General features: G+C 40.7%; 1 protein-coding gene across 3 annotated transcripts in view; it reads right to left on the bottom strand.

Annotated features, from left to right (window-relative positions):
* Nucleotides 1-19,563, bottom strand: part of RPRD1B (regulation of nuclear pre-mRNA domain containing 1B) — a 58,619-nt gene that overhangs the window by 27,116 nt on the left and 11,940 nt on the right. Inside the window, exons 3-5 of one of the 3 annotated variants that reach the window (NM_021215.4) lie at nucleotides 16,768-16,901; nucleotides 7,605-7,717; nucleotides 5,729-5,855 (exon numbers count right to left, since the gene is read on the bottom strand). In NM_021215.4, the coding sequence (NP_067038.1) occupies nucleotides 5,729-5,855; nucleotides 7,605-7,717; nucleotides 16,768-16,901 (374 nt within the window). Of the gene's footprint in view, nucleotides 1-5,728; nucleotides 5,856-7,604; nucleotides 7,718-16,630; nucleotides 16,904-19,563 lie in introns of those variants that run through there. The other 2 variants (XM_047440347.1, XM_047440346.1) reach the window with 2 other exon arrangements.

The raw sequence follows: 19,563 nt of genomic DNA, 5'->3' as shown, positions 1-19,563 counted from the left end.
GGGGCTCGAAGCCAGATCTCTAAAATGATCTATAGCACTCTATCTCTTAAACTATGTAAGCCTTGGACGTGGGGATGAACTTCTTCCTACATTTGACAAAATGTAAAGTCTGATAAGAAAGAGGTTTTTAAATGTTTCTGAACATGACCCACAGCAGAAATACACTTATGTAAATACACAGAAAAATGAAAGCAGCGTTTCATAAAATACCCATTCTTACTATGTGTGCTCTATCTTCTATTTTATCTCTTTTTTTTTTTTTTGAGATGGTGTCTTGCTCTGTGACCCAGGCTGGAGTGCAGTGGCATGATCTCGGCTCACTGCAAGCTCCGCCTCCCAGGTTCATGCCATTCTCCTGCCTCAGCCTCCCGAGTAGCTGGGAGTACAGGCCCCCGCCACCACGCCCGTCTAATTTTTTTGTATTTTTAGTAGAGACGAGGTTTCACTGTGTTAGCCAGGATGGCTTTATTCCATTTTTCAAAAACTGTTGGTCATTAGCTACCAGACTGATTTCATATCCAATTAATGGGTTGTAACTCATGCTTTGGGGGTGGAAAAACATTAAGAAAGGGTATTTTTGGGAAGAAGTGATGAACAAAGGCTCATAATTAAGAAATGAGAAGAAAAAGCAGGATCTGTATTTACAAAGAACTGATATAATTAATTATGTGTGGGTGGTGGTGAGATTCGAATTTTAAATATGTATAACTCATTTTTAAAAGACCTGAATGAATCAAAAGAGTAGGTTGGTGCTTTGAAACAAAGGGCACCAGAGACTCCGGCAGTACCGTGGGACAGTTCCATGACATTCCCTATGGATACAGGCTGTCAGAGGTGAGAGCTCGCATTCTCCTGGGGAACTAGGATTTAAGAATCCCCAACACAGTATCTCTGGCAAACAGCCATCTGGCTTTTCGATGCCTTCTTAATGTGAATATTGCAAGAGGAACTGCTGAAGGATTCCAGATTGGGTGTGATGCCAAAGATTAGGAACCTCTACCCTCCTCAGGGATGGGAAACAAAGAATGTCCTTGGTGAAGGGGAAGAAGTGAGCGGAATGGAACACAAAGGAAAGAGATCACCTCAGTCACAGAGGATAAAGGACCGCCAACTTCTCCTTCCTGCTCAGTGGCTCAGTCCATGAGCAAGCTCCTGGGGTGGTTAGGTTGGTTTTAGTTTTGTTATTGCTTGACTGATCGTTTTTAAAAAATGGTTAATTCACTAAGATGTTTAGGTGCCTGTGGCAAAAAATGGCAAATACTAATTTTTAAGATTAAAAAGAAAATCAATTTGCAGCCTCAAGAACTTTTACAAAGGAAATAATTCATTTACACAAATAATTACAACCCAGAAAAGTAACTTATAATAGTTTAGTGAGTTATACAAATACGCAGTGAAAATGCAGAAGCCAGATGCTCGCTTCGGGGGACCTACCCACGCTGTCCTCACGCTCCCTGCTCTCCTTCACCCATCAGAGGAGTGGCAAGTGCCTCTTTCGGCCAGTCCTCCAAGCGGCATGCGCATCCCATTCCCTCGTTTCCTCAAAGACTAAACTTCTGCAGCCGTCCCATGTCTTCTCTACCTCAGCAAATTCTCTCTCTCCCTCCTAAGAAAACCACTAGCACACAAACCTGCTGCCATGTATTCCACCTACATACCACTCTCCCACTACTGACCTGCTTCCCTGCTCCCCCTTGCAGCTAAACTCTTTTCAGAGAAGTGTAGCCACCTGCTCTCCTCCTGAGCCCACCCCAATCGGGCTTTATGCCCACCAATCCTCTGCTCAAAACCTTCCAATTAGTTTAACAAATTTGAGTTCTTATAACTAGGCTCTTAGAAACAGCAGAGAATAAAAAGGACAAAAACTCTCTGCCCTCAAGTTTATATTATCAGGTAGGAAGAGAATCAATATACAATAAATATTATGCTTACTTATCAGCTGAAGAGAACTACAGAGAAAAACAAGGCAGAGGAGAAAAAGTGGGGCACTGGAAGGTGGGGGGGATCAACATTTTCAAAAAGGTGGTCAGGGTGAGCTTCGCTAAGGTGATACGTAAACAAAGGCCTAAGAAAATGAGAACCAGCTATGTAACTATCTGGGAGGAACGTTTCAGGCAGAGGGGACAGCAAGTACAAAGGCGCTAGGAGGAAAGAGTGACTGGCAAGGAGCCCATATGACTTGAGCAGTGAGTGAGGGGAAAATAGTAAAAGTCTTGCGGTAACAGAGGCCAGTGAAAGACTCTGCTTTAAAGCCAGGCAGGGGGCTCACATCTGTAATCCCAGTGTTTTGGGAGGCCAGGATGGGAGGATTGCTTGAGTCCAGGAGTTTGAGGTTACAATGAGCTAAGATCATGCCACTGACTCCAGCCTGGGTGACAGAATGAGACTGTATCTCAAAAAAAAAAAAAAAGGGGGGGGGGCTCTGGCTTTTAATTTGGTGATGGGGGGAGTCGTGGGGGTGTTATGTGGAGCGGGAGACATGATCTGCCTTCTACTAAGAGGATCACTCTGGTTACTATGTTGAGACTAGAATGATGGCTGAGCAAGAGGAACAAACGAAGTAGCTAGACCAGCTGGGAGGCTACTGCAATAAATCAACTGAACATGGTAGAGACCTGTACCAGGTGGCAGTGGTAGAGGCGGTGACAGGATATCAGATGCTGGTTTTGGTCCCAATCAACAGGAATGATGAGGGCCATTTACTGAGATGGAGAAGACCATGAGTGAAACAAGTTTTAGAGGAAAGGTCAGAAGTTCAGTGTGGGGCAGAGTAAGCTTGAAATGCCTATCAAGATATCCAACTAATAAAACTGAGTAGGAGGTTGGATATATGGGTCTCAAGTTCAAGGTGGAAGGGTCAACACTAGAGATGTAAATTAGGAAATCATTCGCAGAAAAACTCTTATTTATAGTCATGAAATTGGGTGAGAATGGCTGCCAGTGAAACCAGCTAAAGAAGGGGGCTAATATGAAGAGGTCAAGGAGGAGTGAAGAAACCAGCAAGGAGGCTGAAAAGACACAGAAAGAGAGGAGGAAAGCTAGAATAATGCAGGGTCCTAGTTCCCACTGCTACTGTAGCAAATTACCACAAATTTAGTGGCTTGGAATATCACCAATTAATTATCTTATGCCTTATCACAGTTGCTTCCTCCATCTTCAAAGCACATCGCTCCAACCTCTGCTTCCACGGTAATACCTCCTTCTCATTCCCCCTCTCCCACCTTCCTCTTACAAGGACCCTGTGATTACACTGGGCCCTCTTAAATAATCCAGGGTAATCTCCTCATCTCAAGATATTTAATCACACCTGCCAAGTCCCTTGGCCATATAAGATTACATATACACAGGTTCTGTGGATTAAAACATGGGTGTTTGCGGGGTGGGGGGTCAGGAGGCATTATTCCAACTACTACACCAAGTGAAGAAAGTATTTTCAGGAAGAAGAAATAATCTACTGGGCCAAATACTACTGGGGTGAAGTTAAGATGGGGGCAGAGAATCCACCATTGAGTTCAGCAACAAGGAAGTCATCAGCAACTGGGAGGACGGGAAGTAGAGAGACAGCACAGGCAATCCATTCAGGTGGTTTGGCTAAAAAGAACAGAGAAATGAGGCAGTAGCTAGAGGAAGATATGAGGTCAAGAAAAAAATCTTCCCAAGTGGGGGAAAAATTCATGTTTTTATGCTATTGAGAATGATCCAGTAAAGAGTAAAAAATGGAGAATGCAGGAGAAAGAGGGAGCATTGTTGGAGCAATGGCCTTGGCTAGATGAGAAGGAGCAGATCTAATACACAGAGAGGCGGGTTTAGAAAATAGCATGTCCATGTAGAGAAATAGGAGGAAAAGTCAACTCAGACATGTTAGTTTTTCCCAGCCACATTCCACTACACAGGTTCGGGAAAGGAACAGACAAAAAGCTAAATTTAAGAATGGTGGTTGCCAGGTGATATGGGAAGTGAAAAATGATGAGTTATTGTTTAACGGGTATAGAGTTTCAGTTTGGCAAGACGAAAAGAACTCTGGAAACTGGTTGTATAACAACATGAGAATACTTAGCACAACTAAATTGTACACCTTTGTGTTTTATGTAGCTTACCATTTTATATGTATTTTACCACAATTAAAAATCAAAATTAAAAAAGTATTTTAAAAGGAAGCTACATGAGACCTTTAGGTCAGTGAAACAGAGAAACAAAATTACATACATGGCTAGCTTTACATTAACTTGCTTGCAATTTTTGCAGATTATGATTTTGACAGTAAGAATAAATGAAGTGGTCCTTTTAGTAGTAAGTATTTTTAAAATGTGATTTAACCTGTTTAGGGATTTTGCCAGGAGACTACACTGAAGGGAGAAAGAGAAGAAAATGGGTTGAAGGTGTGTGTGAGGAAGTGAAAAGAGAGACTCCAATCTGAATAAAGAAGAAAATGAGGACTCGAGGACTAGGAAGAGGTGGGGGAGGAATCAAGAGACTGCAGGTCCCAGTGGGGTGAATTCCTGGGGTGGGAAAGCAGAGTGAGGGGCTGAGATGCTTCTTGCGTGACTCACAAGGCCTCCGAGCTGTGTTCTCCAACCCAGTACGCCCACTGCCTGAGGTCTTTCCCTGTGCTGCTTCCACTGCCTGGTGGCCCTTCCTTCCCTTGGATATCCTCATGGCTTGCTTCCTAATTTTTCGGGTCTCTGCTCAAGGTCATCTCATCAGAAAGGCTTTCCCCAAACACCTTTAAAATACCATTAATACCGCCTGCAATCATTTTCCGCTCCCACTGCCCTGCTTTATTTTCCTTCTTGACACTTCACTTGAGGGGATATAGGTGGGCCTCAAATATTTGTTGAGGGAAATATTTCATCAGTGACCTTGATTTCCTTTAGATAGATATGGAAGAAGTTAGAGAAGCAGCCAAGTCAAGGGACTGGAGTGGGAAAATGGTGGCCTTTGGAAGACAATGGAATGAAAGGTCTGAGCTTTTGTAAGGGGAGGAACATAGGCTTTGCAGCCTAGATTAGAATCCCAAGATCCACTACTTGTGTGACCTTGGACAAGACACCTATCTTCTCAAAGCCTCAATGTCCTCCTATGCAATATGGAGACACACATTTAGTCACCTCCAAAGACTATCACAAAGAACAGAAGTACCGGTGCAAAGCCTACTGTCAATATTAGTTCATGCTTCATTCCTTCCTTTCAATTTCCCATAAGGAAAGCAGGAATCGTGTCAACTGCCCCTCCCTGTTTAACTAGGGAGGTCACGACTAGGGCAAAATGACATGTCTAACAGACACCTGAAATTCCTGGCACTGAACGCACTATCATCTACGGGGCTTGTCAGAGAGCAGGGCACAAATCACACAGCCCTGAATCATAATTTTTTTTCTTTTAGTAAGAGGGTTATGAGTCTAACAGACAGAATAATACCTAATCTCCCCCACCCACCCCACACGCACACAATTTGTACTATGTTTTTAACAGACCTTATTTAGAGAGCCACAGGTTGTGGCACACCAGCATTTCTGCAATAATTCCTAGAATCACTATTCAAGCTTTGACTATTTCAAAAGTTTCTTTGTTCACCATGTGAGTTATGTTTGCAAATCCCAAGATGGTAGAGCAACCAATACAACATGGAAAGTAGTCTATACCTGCAGACGTTAAGTATGGCCTAGGGTTACTGCATTACAGTTATGTCCCTCTCTCCTCACCTTTCACCCAAACTCTACCTTCTCACCTGTTATTTTTTCCAATAGAGAAACATCTTGCACTTCCTGGGGCAGAGAAGCAATTTTCTGTCGGACAGTAGCATCCCCTGATGCGGCATTTTCCAGATCCTGCAAAGCTTTGATTAGTTCCTCAGTCTGTAAGATGAAAACACAAACAACACTACCCATTAAGACATGGGGTTTAAAGAAAATTAGTTGGAGTTAAATGAGGTGGAGGCAAATTCTAAAAACAGTCATTCCTGCCATTTCTTAAAAAAAACTGTTCTTAGCCCCAGAGCTTACATGTAAGTCAATGTCACGGACTCTAAGAAAATCCACAAAATTAGTTTATCTAAGTCCATGGCAGAACATGAATGAAATTCTGAATAATTATTATTATTTTTTAATTCTAAAAGAACATGTTTTTGGCAATTCAAAACAATGGAGTTTGGTTCATGTTGCTTAATTTCAAATGATGTATCATTTCCAGTATAGAATAAAGGTATAAATATCAGATGTTAACAACTGTGTGTTGTGGCCAGGTGTGGTGGCTCGCACCTGTAATCCTAGCACTTTGGGAAGCCAAGGCAGGAGGATCACTTGAGCCCAGGAGTTCGAGACCAGCCTGGACAATATAGCGACACCCTGTCTCTACAAAAAAATTAAAATAAAATAATAAGCCAAGCATGGTGGCATATGTCTATAGTCCCAGCTACTTGGGAGGCTGAGGTAGGAGTATCACTTGAGCCCCAGAGGTTGAGTTTGCAGTGAACTATGATCATGCTACTGCACGCCAGCCTGGGTAACAGAGCAAGATCCTGTCTCAAGAAGGAGAAGGAAAAAATTATATGTTGACTGATCAACCTACTTCAATTCTTTCTTGGGTTTTCTTGACAAAATGGATGTCACTCCCAAAATTAAATGTATCAAACTTATTATAAACCCAGGGGGAAAAAACAAGAAAAGTAAACCAGGGATACATTTTCTGTATATATCAAAAAGGAGTTTCTTAAATTGTCAGAAAACAATGCTAACAGGCCACTCCATAATCACCAAGGAGTAGCTAGCTCTGTAGATGGTAGTTAGATTACCCTGAAAGGTAATAATCTAGGCTGTAGTCTTTAAAGTGTTTAAATCCAAAGATATATGACCTAACACTGCTGTCATTTAATCCCTAGTCTAACTCAACACCGTAACATAACACAAACTAGACATGTTTCCTATTTACATAGGCTTTAAGCATGACCATGTGTAATAAAGCTGTTTTAGGCAAAATAAGATGAAGCCCCCCCCGCCCCCGCCTTGAAAAGAGCATGGGCTCTGAAGTCAGACACACCTGGATTTAAATTAAGACACTGGTCAAGTTACTTAAACTGTCACCTTGTGCCCAACTTCTTTCATTTAGATTTTGTAAGCTAACCTGTATAGCCAAATAACACAAACACATGGGTAAAGACTAACTCCTTGTTTCAATATTTAATAGGCTACAGTGCAGCAAATTTGCTATTGACACATAGACTGTCTTTAGATATTAATGAGTTACTTTATAAAACTACCATGCTACTGGAGACAGGCCATGGTAGACGACTTTTGAATATCTTTGTAATATTATCTATCCCTTTCTCCAAAATCTATTTTTAAAGAATATTCTTAATTTCTAGGATTGAAAAAACCAAGTCCAAGTACTTTATAAAACATAAGCCCATCCCAGAGTTATGGCACGCAAAGACATACTGACACCTGCCATCCGGCAAGCTCCTTTGGGCAGGATGATGCACGGGGCCCCTGAGAGGTGCCCTCTGATGATTCCATACCAGTGGTCACTGGCGCCACCTTGTGGCCATAGTCTTCAACTAGAGGTCACTTTAAGCCACTGTTCCCTACTCTCTGGGGGTCAAGACCTACCAAGAGGGGTCCTGCAGAAGGATCCTGAGGAGAGTAGCTGCCAGGGTAGTCGTCATCCTCCTCCTCCTGAATTTGCTGAAAAGTTCGTTTCAGAGATTTCTTCTCTTCTGTTGCTAGACAAAAGAGAAAGTAATAAATTTGAGTCACATATCCTGTAGTGATAAGTCACATGCTATGCACAATGGGCCACATGTAAAAACAGGGCAGAAGGGGCACACATTTTCAGAATGGCTTAATAGTAACCTTTATGCTAGTTATTTTAAATTGACTGTAGTTCCCTACATTACTGAAAAGAGTCAAACAGGTCTTTGTCCGTCATCTCAGATTGATTCTCTGGTAAAATACTACAGAAAACAGGCATCTAAAGCGAAAACTTACCCAACTATCACACTTGAGTAAGAAACTCATGGGACAATACAATGAAGCAAACCAACGTGTGCTAGGGTTTACAGAGAAGATATTGTGTATAAAATGAGATACGTTATGCTTTCCAGGGATCATTTCAGAAAACAGGAGAGAAAATTTTATCAATAAAATTGTGTCAAACACAAATATTCTTTACACTATTCCCCTAAAAATAAAATAAATCTAATTTTACCTTAAAATTAAAATAACCATTACTGAGACATGTGATTGATACTACTGAGAAAAATTACTTAAGTTACCATTTTAAATTTAACCACTTTTGAGGCTGACAGGTTACATTATTTATGATCTATCTGCACCGTATGTTTTTACATTGTTATGATAGATGTGTTAATTCCAAAATCATTCTTTTTGCATCAAATTAGACAATACAAAATAAATGCCAAACAATTGTGGGAAATAAATCTAAATGATAAATTCTAGTTTCGAAAGTAAAGAAATATTGGACACAGCCTGTGCCTGGCATTGCAATAGTTTCCTTTTAATCTTTCCAACAATTTTAAGATACAGCATCTCCAGCTGAAAGGTGAGAAAACAAAGGCCAGGGAGGTTAAATGACACACTTACGGTATGACTCCAAAACCTGTCCTCTTTCCACTGCACTCAAATTACTTAGCACCACACAGGTACCCTCTCATTTAGAAAAAAGGGGACACCAGGCACCTGCTGCAGATACATACACATTTTTTGCTTACACATTTTCTTCTGGAAACAAGTCACGTAGCTCCTGTTCTCTACATTATATACATCATATACTAACTGACCAAACTCACGTTTGAAGTGAAAGCCAGGTCAATATCATGAGTTTTATTTTTATTTTTTTTTTTTAGATGGAGTTTTTGCTCTCTTGCCCAGGCTGGAGTGCAGTGACACATTCTCAGCTCACTGCAACTTCCGCCTCCTGGGTTCCAGCAATTCTCCCACCTCAGCCTCCTGAGTAGCTGGGATTACAGGCATTTGCCCCCATGCCTGGCTAATTTTTGTATTTTTAGTAGAGTCAGGGTTTCATTCACCATGTTGGCCAGGCTGGTCTCGAACTCCTGGCCTCCAGTGACCCACCCGCCTTGGTCTCCCAAAGTCCTGGGATTACAGGTGTGAGCCATCACGCCTGGCCAAGTTTCACTTCTTCTTAATGATTCTGTCTATTACAAAAAAAGGAGACAGGAACATCTGCAATACAGGCCGTCCTCACTTTGCGCATACTATTATACACAGATTTGTTACCATGGCTTCGTTAAATGACACCAGTCCCTCAATAAAACAAGTTCAAACTTCAGTTACCATGGCATATTAACTCTTGAGTAGTTGCATAAAGTACAAATTTTGCTGCTAACTTCAGCCCCCAAATCATGATCAGGGACCAATCACATCATTCTTGAAGTCAATCAGTGATTGGTCACTGAACACCTGTTATGCAGGTCACACAAAGACAGCAAAGTGCTTCGCTGTGCTGTCTCCTTATCGCCCAGTGATAACACCCACGACATTTTATAAAAATGAACGATCAGAAGAGGGTATTGATCATAAAGACAAATGTGGAACAAAGAAACTGAAACAAAAGCTAATGCCGGAACTGAAATCCCAATGGCATATTAGTGGAGTTACAGAAGAAAGAGCACGCTGCAGGATGCTGCCACTGCCAGCATCAGAGGGAGCCTAGATCCATGGCCAGAGGAATGTGTAGAGGCCAACTTAGCAATGAAGAAAGTGGGAGTGATGAAAAGAATGACAACGTCCTAGAGGAAGAGACGCTAACAAAAAAAAAAAACTGCATGCTAAAGAAACTGAGAGGTATTTTACAATACTGAAAGCATAAAAGATAAAATGTTGGAAGCTGATCCAAACAAAATACAGTATGACAACTTGCAAAGCCACAGAAAAGATGTTTGCTCTGATATGTATCTAAATTATACCAGAAGAAGGCAACCCTTGTTCAAACTACTCTTGATAAGTTTGTTACAAAGAAAACACACTTTAATTCTCAATGTTTCTAATTTGTTGTTACAGCATATTAAATAACTATTAGTTTATTATCTCTTTTGTTTCCGTACACATTTGGAATCAACAATGAGTTTTTAATTCTTTGACAAAAAAAATTTTAAAAGTCACAGAACAATCATAATTTTCCCCACTGATTATAAAGATTGCTTTGCATGGGTTCAGCTTGCACAATCATGGTTATAGTCCTGCACTACTATGCAAAGCAAAGATTGCTATATTTTTAATATGAAAAATCTATTAGGATAAAATTTACATAAGAAACACCTAACAGTACTTTGTACATAGTAGCTGCCTAATTAATGTGTGCTATATGACCCATGCAGACACTTAGCCACTGTGGCATCAAAGTGGTCATGTGGAAGGAGTGGCCATTAGAAGGTAAGTACAAACTTCAAAATTTTTTATACTGTTCTGTTTGCTTTCAAGCACCTAGAAGAGCACTCAGTAAGTAACTATTAGATATGCTAAAGAAGGTAGAAAAAAATTACAAAACTTGAAATCCTTCCGTTTTCAAACTCTCACACAGAAATTATTATATATAAACATCAAACACTACCTCGACACTTAGAATTCCTGAATTTTGGCACTGGGAGGACTTAGACAGACCCATGCCTTTGTTTCCCCCAACTCAAATTTTCATGAAAATATCTAAGTCCACAGGTTGCAGTCTGCCCAAAGTCAGAGAGTTTGTTAGTGTAAATCTGGGTGCTACAGATCAAAGCCTCATTATCTGGAGTTATCTTTACCACTTCACACTGTTGCTCACGAACAGCATTACAAGACTTAAAATAAGAAATCATTTTAGGACAACTTATGTCCTTTGCCATCCTGCTGGCAGAGGGCACAATAGGTGTTAACCATTACCCTATTTTTCCAGTTTCCTCCTATTTCCATTTGGAGGACCTACTGGTGCTACAAACATAAGATTTCTGGACATGAATTACTAATCATTTCCCCCACAGGGCTCCTCATTCCCTGAGCTACCTATTTCCATTACGAACACTTTCACTGACCTGTCTTCCAGGTACAAGGCCTTGGAAACCATTAGAATCTATCCCAAGGTCCCAGTTTCTAGCAGATTCCATACCTCAGACTGATGCCTTACATACTCCCTCCCTTTGCTCCTTCACCTACACAGCCTCTTATCAGCAATCTGCCCTTTGTCACAGCTGGTTGAGACCACTGTCTCCCCGCCTCTAGTTGCTCCTTTCCCAAGTTAGACTATACAGTTGTCCCTCAGTATCCATGGGGGATTGGTTCCAGGACCGCTACGGATATCAAAATCTAGGGATACTCAAGATCCCTTACAAAATGGCATGGTATTTATATATAACTTACGCACACATCCTTCCGTATACTTTGTGTCTAGATTATAGTACCTAATACAATGTACACATGATATGTAAATAATTGTCACACCATTTCATTTTTAAAATATGTATTATTTTTACCCAAAATATATTCAATATGTAGCTGGTTGCATCCACAGATGTGGAACCTGTAAATATGGAAGACTGTATTCTGTTATTAAATTAATCTTCCTAAAGCGGAGTGCTCACTCCATCATGTCCCTATTCATAAACCTTAAGGGGCTTCTAATGATTTTACAGATTCCTCCTAAGTTCAAAGCCTAATGATGACAAATGGCCTCCAACTCCCACGGCACTCGGGCCTCTCTTAAAGCACCTGGCCTTGCTACTCTGGCCACTGGCAAGCGTTCTTCTCCGACAGGAGCACTTTGTGTCTTATTCCTCTACATCCCTGCAGTACCTAGGAAAGGGGTGACAGGTCGGAGTTTGAAACCGCTTGAAGGGAGGAGTCACAGAGCTTGGAAAATGCTAGTGCTAGGCCAGAAATGACTATCACTGCTACGAAGTCAGCAGTTATAGTGCCTGGTATTGTCAGTCTAGTCAGACAGCCATTAAAAATAACTTAGGATTTCCAGGTTTCCTTTTCAAAAGCTATACATTTTTTTAAAAATTAAAATTATTTTAAAAACTAGAATATGTGTCAGTTCCATTTCTACATCTGAATTTAAGGTAAGCCTTCCACTATCAATTCAGCTTCTACCACGGTATATATTTACTCTCCCTTTTTCACTCACTCAACCACTCTGTTTACAGGCAGGACAAACTGTGGGGGTAGCCAAAGTCCTTCTGTCCTCATACTGGGCACCTTCTATTCTATCCTCCAACTTGTCCCTGTGTCTCCAGCAGGCCTTGTACTCAGCTAACCTTAAGTAATCCTCGTTACCTAAGGGTTTATGGTATGCCTCTTACAACCTGATTGTGGGAGAATTTCAGACACAATGGCAGACTGTGAAACTAATCTTAAGGCAAAAAGCTGGCCTGCAGGTTCCCAAATCACATTATAATATGCAGCCATCTACCGTAAAGCTGGATCTTCTAGAGGATCCACTTGAAATTTTCTGTGATTTAAAAAAAAAAAAAAAAAAAAAAAAAAAACACCGCGTTTGGTCCGAGTGCAGCAGTGTTTACAACTAATTGATCGCAATCAGTTACAGGTTTTTTTGTTCCTTCTCTACTCCCACTGCTTCAATTGACTAGTTAACAACAACAAAAAAAACCACACCTATAGACTTTATATTACTTTTATAATGAGAAAAGGATCAGGAAATATTGTTTGCAACAGCTCCCTCATTCTTTGCTCCATCCCTGCATAATAAAGGACATTTTAATAAGGCACATTAAACTTTACTTGTGGAGAGAAAAGAACCTACAACAGATAAAGGTCTAACATTTGAGGCACAGTTCTACAAGCTGTCTACCCTTATCATCTCACTGAACTGAGTAGCCAAATCCAGGCATAAACCCAGGGAAGTTGTGCCTAGAACTCATACTCTTAGCTACCATGTTCTCCAGCCTCGCACAAAAACTGGGGGACTGAAAATATTAAAAACCTCTTCTTACTTTTGCGACCAGTTCATATATAGAAACTCAGCACATTAGATACTAGAACTGGCAGGGGCAAACAAAACTCGTATCATTGCCCCACTGATAATATCTTACCTGCATTATCTCAAGTAATCCTCATCACTATCCTAGAAGGTATTACCATTAATAGCCATATTGTACAGTGAGGATCTGAGCTTCAGAAGGATCAAATGCCATGGCCAAGGTCACAGAGCTTTAGAAATGACAGCTAGGGGCCGGGTGTGGTGGCTCATGCCTGTAATCCTGCCATTTTGGGAGGCCGAGGTGGGCGGATCACCTGAGGTTGGGAGTTCGGGACCAGCCTGACCAACATGGAGAAACCCCATCTCTACTAAAAATACAAAATTAGCCAGGCGTGGTGGCACATGCCTGTAATCCCAGCTACTTGGAAGGCTGAGGCAGGAGAATCACTTGAACCTGGGAGGCAGAGGTTGCGGTGAGCCGAGGTCCCGCCATTGCACTCCAGCCTGGGCGACAGAGCAAGACTTCATCTCAAAAAAGAAATGACAGCTAGGATTCATACTGTGGAAGCCTGAATAGCTAAACTATATTAAGATCCAGGAAAGCTGGGTAACCTACTCACAAATTCCTACCAAAATTCCTACCAATATTGAAACCGTGTGCTTTCAGGAAATACGACAGTGTGAAGAATATCAGCTTTAAAGTCGTATAGACCTGGGAATTCGCCACTTACCAATTATCTCTCTCTGAACAAAATTACTATACCTTTTTGAGCCAGTATCCTCATCTAAAGTATGAAAATAATACCAAATTCACAGAGTAGTTGTAAGGATCTAAAACAAATTAATATGAAAAGCAGCCAGCAGAGGCTGGTACATAACGGATGCTCAATAAATGCTAGTCCCTTTGTATCTACCCTCTCTCTCTAAATCCTTCTACAACCGTATACTACATGAGTCACATGTGGCTCAAATAAAAAAGTTCCATTCAGTCAAGCAACACCTTGAGTATTCTCAAGAGTAGAGAACTTTTCTCCTTTTCTTACTTTTTAAATTTTGTTTTTAAGTGACAAATAATAATTGTATATATTTATAGGGTACAGTGTGATGTTTTGAGAGACACCTTTAGAACACCTTGAGAGACAGGTTTATAAACTTAATACCCAGTTCTAAAACAGAATTCCTAAGCTCATGCATTCTCTAATGTTGTAAGAACTGTCAAAGTTCCATAGAAAAATTTTTATTTCAGAGGTAAACTCCATGAAGTTGCCTGAAGACAAAGAATTACCCATGAATCAAAGCTGGAATATAAAAGGACTACTCAAATTTGGAAATAAACTTCTCGAGAACTCATCAACATTTGAAAGGACTGTGGTAAAATATTCTGATAACTCAGGTCCAGAGAGTGAAGACAGAGTGAGTCAGCTGGGACTAACACACATGTTGAAATCTTTTGATGTGTGTTTTCATCTTTATAGAATAGAGAAAGAGAAATTATCTTTAGATTAGCATTATCCTCTACCTAGAGGAAACTGCCTCTATTATTGTTAATGTCTGTCTAGACTTTCAAAAAAAAATCAGAAACCCACTGAAGCTATTCCCAATACTATCACTGCCACAAATTCCACACATTCCCAGAGTGCAAACCTATTCCTCACTCTTTTCTCCCTCTTTCCTATAGCATCTAGCATATCTGTTTATTCAAAGTATGTGTCCAGCAAATGTACATTAAATTGAAATTCAACATTAGCTTCAAACATCCTCTTTCAAGGCTCTCCTACTTGCCCAAAGGTGTTCTTAAAAACCAGCACTGTTTACCAATGAACTCTAAGGCAGAGTAAAGAATGCTGAGTAATTCCCCAAAGCTGTACTGAAGACCTCCAAAGGACACAATAAAAACACCAGAATCCAAAGCAGGAAACATCTTGCTTTTCAGAAGCTACCAATCACCTGAGTGATCCTAAAATTATCTTCTAGCAACACCAAGTAAAACAACAATGACCTGCAGTCTGAAAGCACTTATGTCATTCACAGAAAGCCTCTAACCTTTGGTTTCACAGGAAAGTTACCCACTGCAAAATGCAAATAATTCCAGACCTGGAAAGGATCATGAAGGGTACACAAAAGGGTTACTCAGTGAAGGATACTGTCACACATGCTAATCATGACTAGGTTCTATAGCAGATGCATGTATAAAGTACCAGAGAACAAGGAGGGAATGACCACATGGGCCCAGACAAGCCAGGGAAGATGTCAGAATGAGAGTTGCATTCTTGGAGAATGAGTTCATCACACAGTGAAAGCGGTAGAAGGACATCAAGTAGAGGTAACAGCAGATGGAAAGGAAGCAGTGCCAACAGAGCATCCAGAGGGTAAACTGTCGGCAATTCAGTTTGGCCAAAGAATACAGTGTAAGTGAGGAAGTGGCAGGAGAAGAATCTGGAAAAACAGGCTAGTTCAGATAGAAAGGGTCTTCAATACTATCAGTACTTGGACTCGATCCTCCAGGAAACATGTATGCAGGCAGATCAGATCTGTAGCTAAGAAACATGTCATGCCAACTAGAATTAAACCACAACTAACCAGAAGCCAAGTAACTAAACAACATTTGATCTTACTCTTTAAAGAAAAAAATAGGCCAGGTGAGGTGGCTCACGCCTATAATATCAGCACTTTGGGAGGCTGAGGCGGGTGGATCACGAGGTCAGGAGTTCAAGACCAGCCTGGCCAAGATGGTGAAACCCTGTCTCTACCAAAAATACAAAAATTAGCTGGGCATGGTGGCAGGTGCCTGTAATTCCAGCTACTCGGGAGGCTGAGGCAAAGAACTGCTTGAACCCGGGAGGCGGAGGTTGCAGTGAGCTGAGATCATACCACCGCACTCCAGCCCAGGTAACAAAGCAAGACTCTGTCTCAAAAAAAAAAAAAAAAAAAAAGAAAAAAAGAAAGAAAAAAGAAAAAATAATATAAGCTCTTATTAAGGGCTTTGCAAAATTCACACACAGATGCACTTCCTAAAGATATCCTGGGTTCAGTAAAGATCAAAATCAGTTTTAAGCTGGGCGCAGTGACTCACACCTGTAATCCAGCACTTTGGGAGGCCGAGGCGGGCAGATCACTTGAGGTCAGGAGTTTGAGACCAGCCTGGCAAACATGGTGAAACCCCGTCTCTTCTAAAAATACAAAAATTAGCCGGGTGTTGTGGCAGGTGCCTGAATCTCAGCTACTCAGGAGGCTGGGGCAGGAGAATGGCTCGAACCCAGGAGGCGGAGGTTGCAGTGAGCCGAGATCACGCCACTGCACTCCAGCCTGGATGACAGGGTGAGACTCTGTCTCCAAAACAAACAAACAATCAACTTTAGACAGACACCATGCTGACAATCCTAAGGATATGTTTCAAAAGCACATCTACATTTAATTAAATCAAGTTCTTAAAAAGCTAAGAAACTTATCCAAGGTCCTATTGTAGTTAATGGCAGAGCAAGGACAAAATCTTAGTCCAGGCTACTTCCTAGTTCACCACAACTCTGAACAACTTTGTTGTTCCTTTCCTTGTGCAAGGAAAGTCTCTGAAAGACAGAAGCAAGCCAAGGAGAACAGAGAGCAAAAGTCAGGGTGTGAGAGGATGAATAGCATGAATACTAGAACCAGGCTTACACGCTGTGAGCACTACATAAATTCTCACCATCATTCATGATCATCTGTCTCTCTGAAGAATCATAAAATCGCTGGTGGTTCACAGCAAACCCCACTGCAGCTTTTCATATTTGATTCGAAAGTAGGCAAAGACCAAGAGCTGTAAACATGTGGTGATGTTTCTACCTTTGGGGGGAGGGCTCTTGGAGTCCTCCATAGACAGCTTCAGCTGCTGTATGAACTCGCCGCCATACACACTTCGTTCTTGCCAGATGTTCAGCAATCTTTCTAAAGGTTTTTTACAGCCTTCATCTGCCTCTCTGCCCAGAAAAGATGAAAAGATATATATAAGCTTAAGATTTTTTGCTTTTAATTAGGACAGACCTACTTAAAAAAAAAAGAAATCAACAACTGACTAAATGATTTACACATTTAAAACCAAATAAGGTACATATTGTAATACCTGGATACCCAAAACTTGACCACAAACTACATTCTTCGTGCAGTGGGAGGGATCATGCCATAATTGAAATCAAATAGGACCAAAAGTCAATGGCCAATTTTTACAGACAGAAAATTATCAAAACTCCATCTTATCAGTTGTGATAGCTTGCTTTTTAAGAAGACGTTAATTAAAATGCCAGACATTCTGCTGGAAATTAAAAGTGGATCAGAACTCTTAAAGATAGAAAAATGATTTTAAAAAACCAGATGTTTAAAACAGGAAATAAATTCACTGCAACTCATCAATTCTAACACACCAACACCTCTACATGTATAAACACAATCACATACATGTATATGTCAAGAATCATTCCAGTTCTAACCACTGCATAATTATTTTAATTCTGGGCTAAGTCCATAGTCCAGGTTCACACAAAGGTATCTGATAATCTTAGAACACACTTAATAATGCAGTCCTTCATAATTTATATCAAAGGATATGAATTAGAAGTTAGAAAATGTTTTCCCCTGACATGTTAACTCCTGAAACAGGATATAAAGGACTATAACTAGCACTCACTGAGAACCAATTGCCTACAATAAAATCTCAGACAGCAAGCAGAAGATTGGGTTAGACTTTCTGAAAGCAAAGTGAATTCAGTCACCATGCACTGTTACCATGAAATCTTCTGTTTTGTGAGGGGGTTTAAATGGCAACGATCTTATACTGAATGACTTTAAACAAGAAGGGATACCTCGACATCTTAGTATCTAAGTTAAATGGCTTTTAATAGGAACTTCAAGGAGAAACCATGCCAATTCAACTGAGATGGGAACTCTATTCACACCCGACCATGACAACGCTTTCATAAACTCAAGGAGAACTTAGGTTTCAGCCTAGCCCAGTCAGAATGTCTCACTTATGAATTATTAGTGGTAAATTTCACTGACTAAAGGACTCAATCAGAGTACATAAAAATTAATTCTTTTTTTGTTAAACTTTTTAAAGTCAGAAGTGAGGGTTCGGGAAAAAAAAGGAAAAACATTTCTACTGCTAATTTTATAAAGCTTAAAAATATGACCCAATTACTTGGTATTTGTGATAAAACACTTTTACTCCACCTTCAAAATATATCCGGAAATGAGTTATTTCTCATCTTTTCCTCTGCTATCAATCTGGCCCAAGGCACTATCATCTCTCGCCTGCATTACTACAGTAGCCTCATTACTGGTCTCCTCGCTTCCACCCTTGTCCTCCTACAACCTGTTCTCGAGTTTTCAAAATACAATTTTAGCTGCTGTACTAAGGCAGACCACGTCACTCCTTTGTTCAAAATTGCCAACATTTCTTCCCAGTATCCCTCAGAATAAAAGTCCTTATAAAGACTCCAAGGCCTTTCCCAACCCAGCTGTTATTTCCCTGGCCTCATCTCCTACCCACTCTTCCCCACCCCCGTCCTCCAACCTCCTGCCTCAACAACAGCTACCCTAGCACTGCCTCAGAGCCTTAGCACTTCAAAAGTTTGCTTTGCCTGGAACCACATTCCCCATGTGGCCACACAGCTCAATTCCTCTCCTCCTTCAGGGGTATGTTTAGTTACACCACCTTCAGTGTGTCATTCCCTAATCTCCACGTTGAAAATAACACTCCCTGCCCCTACTCAATTTTTCTCCATACAACTTTTCTGGTATGCTGTATATTCAATAGTTTACTTTTTGTTTACACGCTTTCCATTTGAATGTAATTTCCACAGGGGTGCAGATTTGTCATTTTCTCCCATTGCTATATGCCCTTGAACAAGCACAATGAATATCTGTCAAATTGTAATCTTTTCCAGAAAAATGTATATGGGTTTCGGTAAGTAATACAGTTACTTAACTTTCAACAATCATCTTACTGTATCAAGGTCATGGCAGAAATCAACTAAGCACTCCTCAGCTCGACCAATGAAGGTTTACAAAGAATAAGAAGGCCTGGGTCCTGACCTCTAGGGCTCGACTCAGCAATCCCTCAGACCTGTTTTTAGTCTCCTTTCCCTACCCTACCTGGAACTTTGCATTCCAGCAACACCCACCCGTATGTATTTGCTACTCAGAATTTGTTCTCTCATGTGCATGTGCCTTTGTTCATGCTATCTCTTCTCCTTCAAATGGAATAGCCAAAATTGAACAAGGCAAAGGGAAAGGAGTAATTCAAGTAGCTGAAGTATATGGGGGAATGTGCGGAAACTGCAGAAGAATCTGGAAGGAGGGTGGAATTCAATTACAGCGAGCCCTGAATGCCATATTAAAGCACGTGGCCTGCAGGCAATGGGAGGTCCCTAATGTGAGCAAATGTATAGCTTAGAAAAATAAAGTCATTATAATTAGTAAAACCAAATTGCAACTAATCAGAACTTAGTTAATGAACTAGCTGGTACTTTTAGCATAAAATCTGTTTGCTGCAGATTCTCTGTTCGCTTAAAAGAAAGAGAAACCAGTCTCGAGAATAAATTCTTATCAAGGACTTAGTTTAAAAGTAGGTGGGTATCACAACAC

Source organism: Homo sapiens, chromosome 20 (genome assembly GCF_000001405.40).
Source record: "Homo sapiens chromosome 20, GRCh38.p14 Primary Assembly".
Taxonomy (NCBI): domain Eukaryota; kingdom Metazoa; phylum Chordata; class Mammalia; order Primates; family Hominidae; genus Homo; species Homo sapiens.
This window is presented reverse-complemented; position numbering and strand designations above follow the sequence as displayed.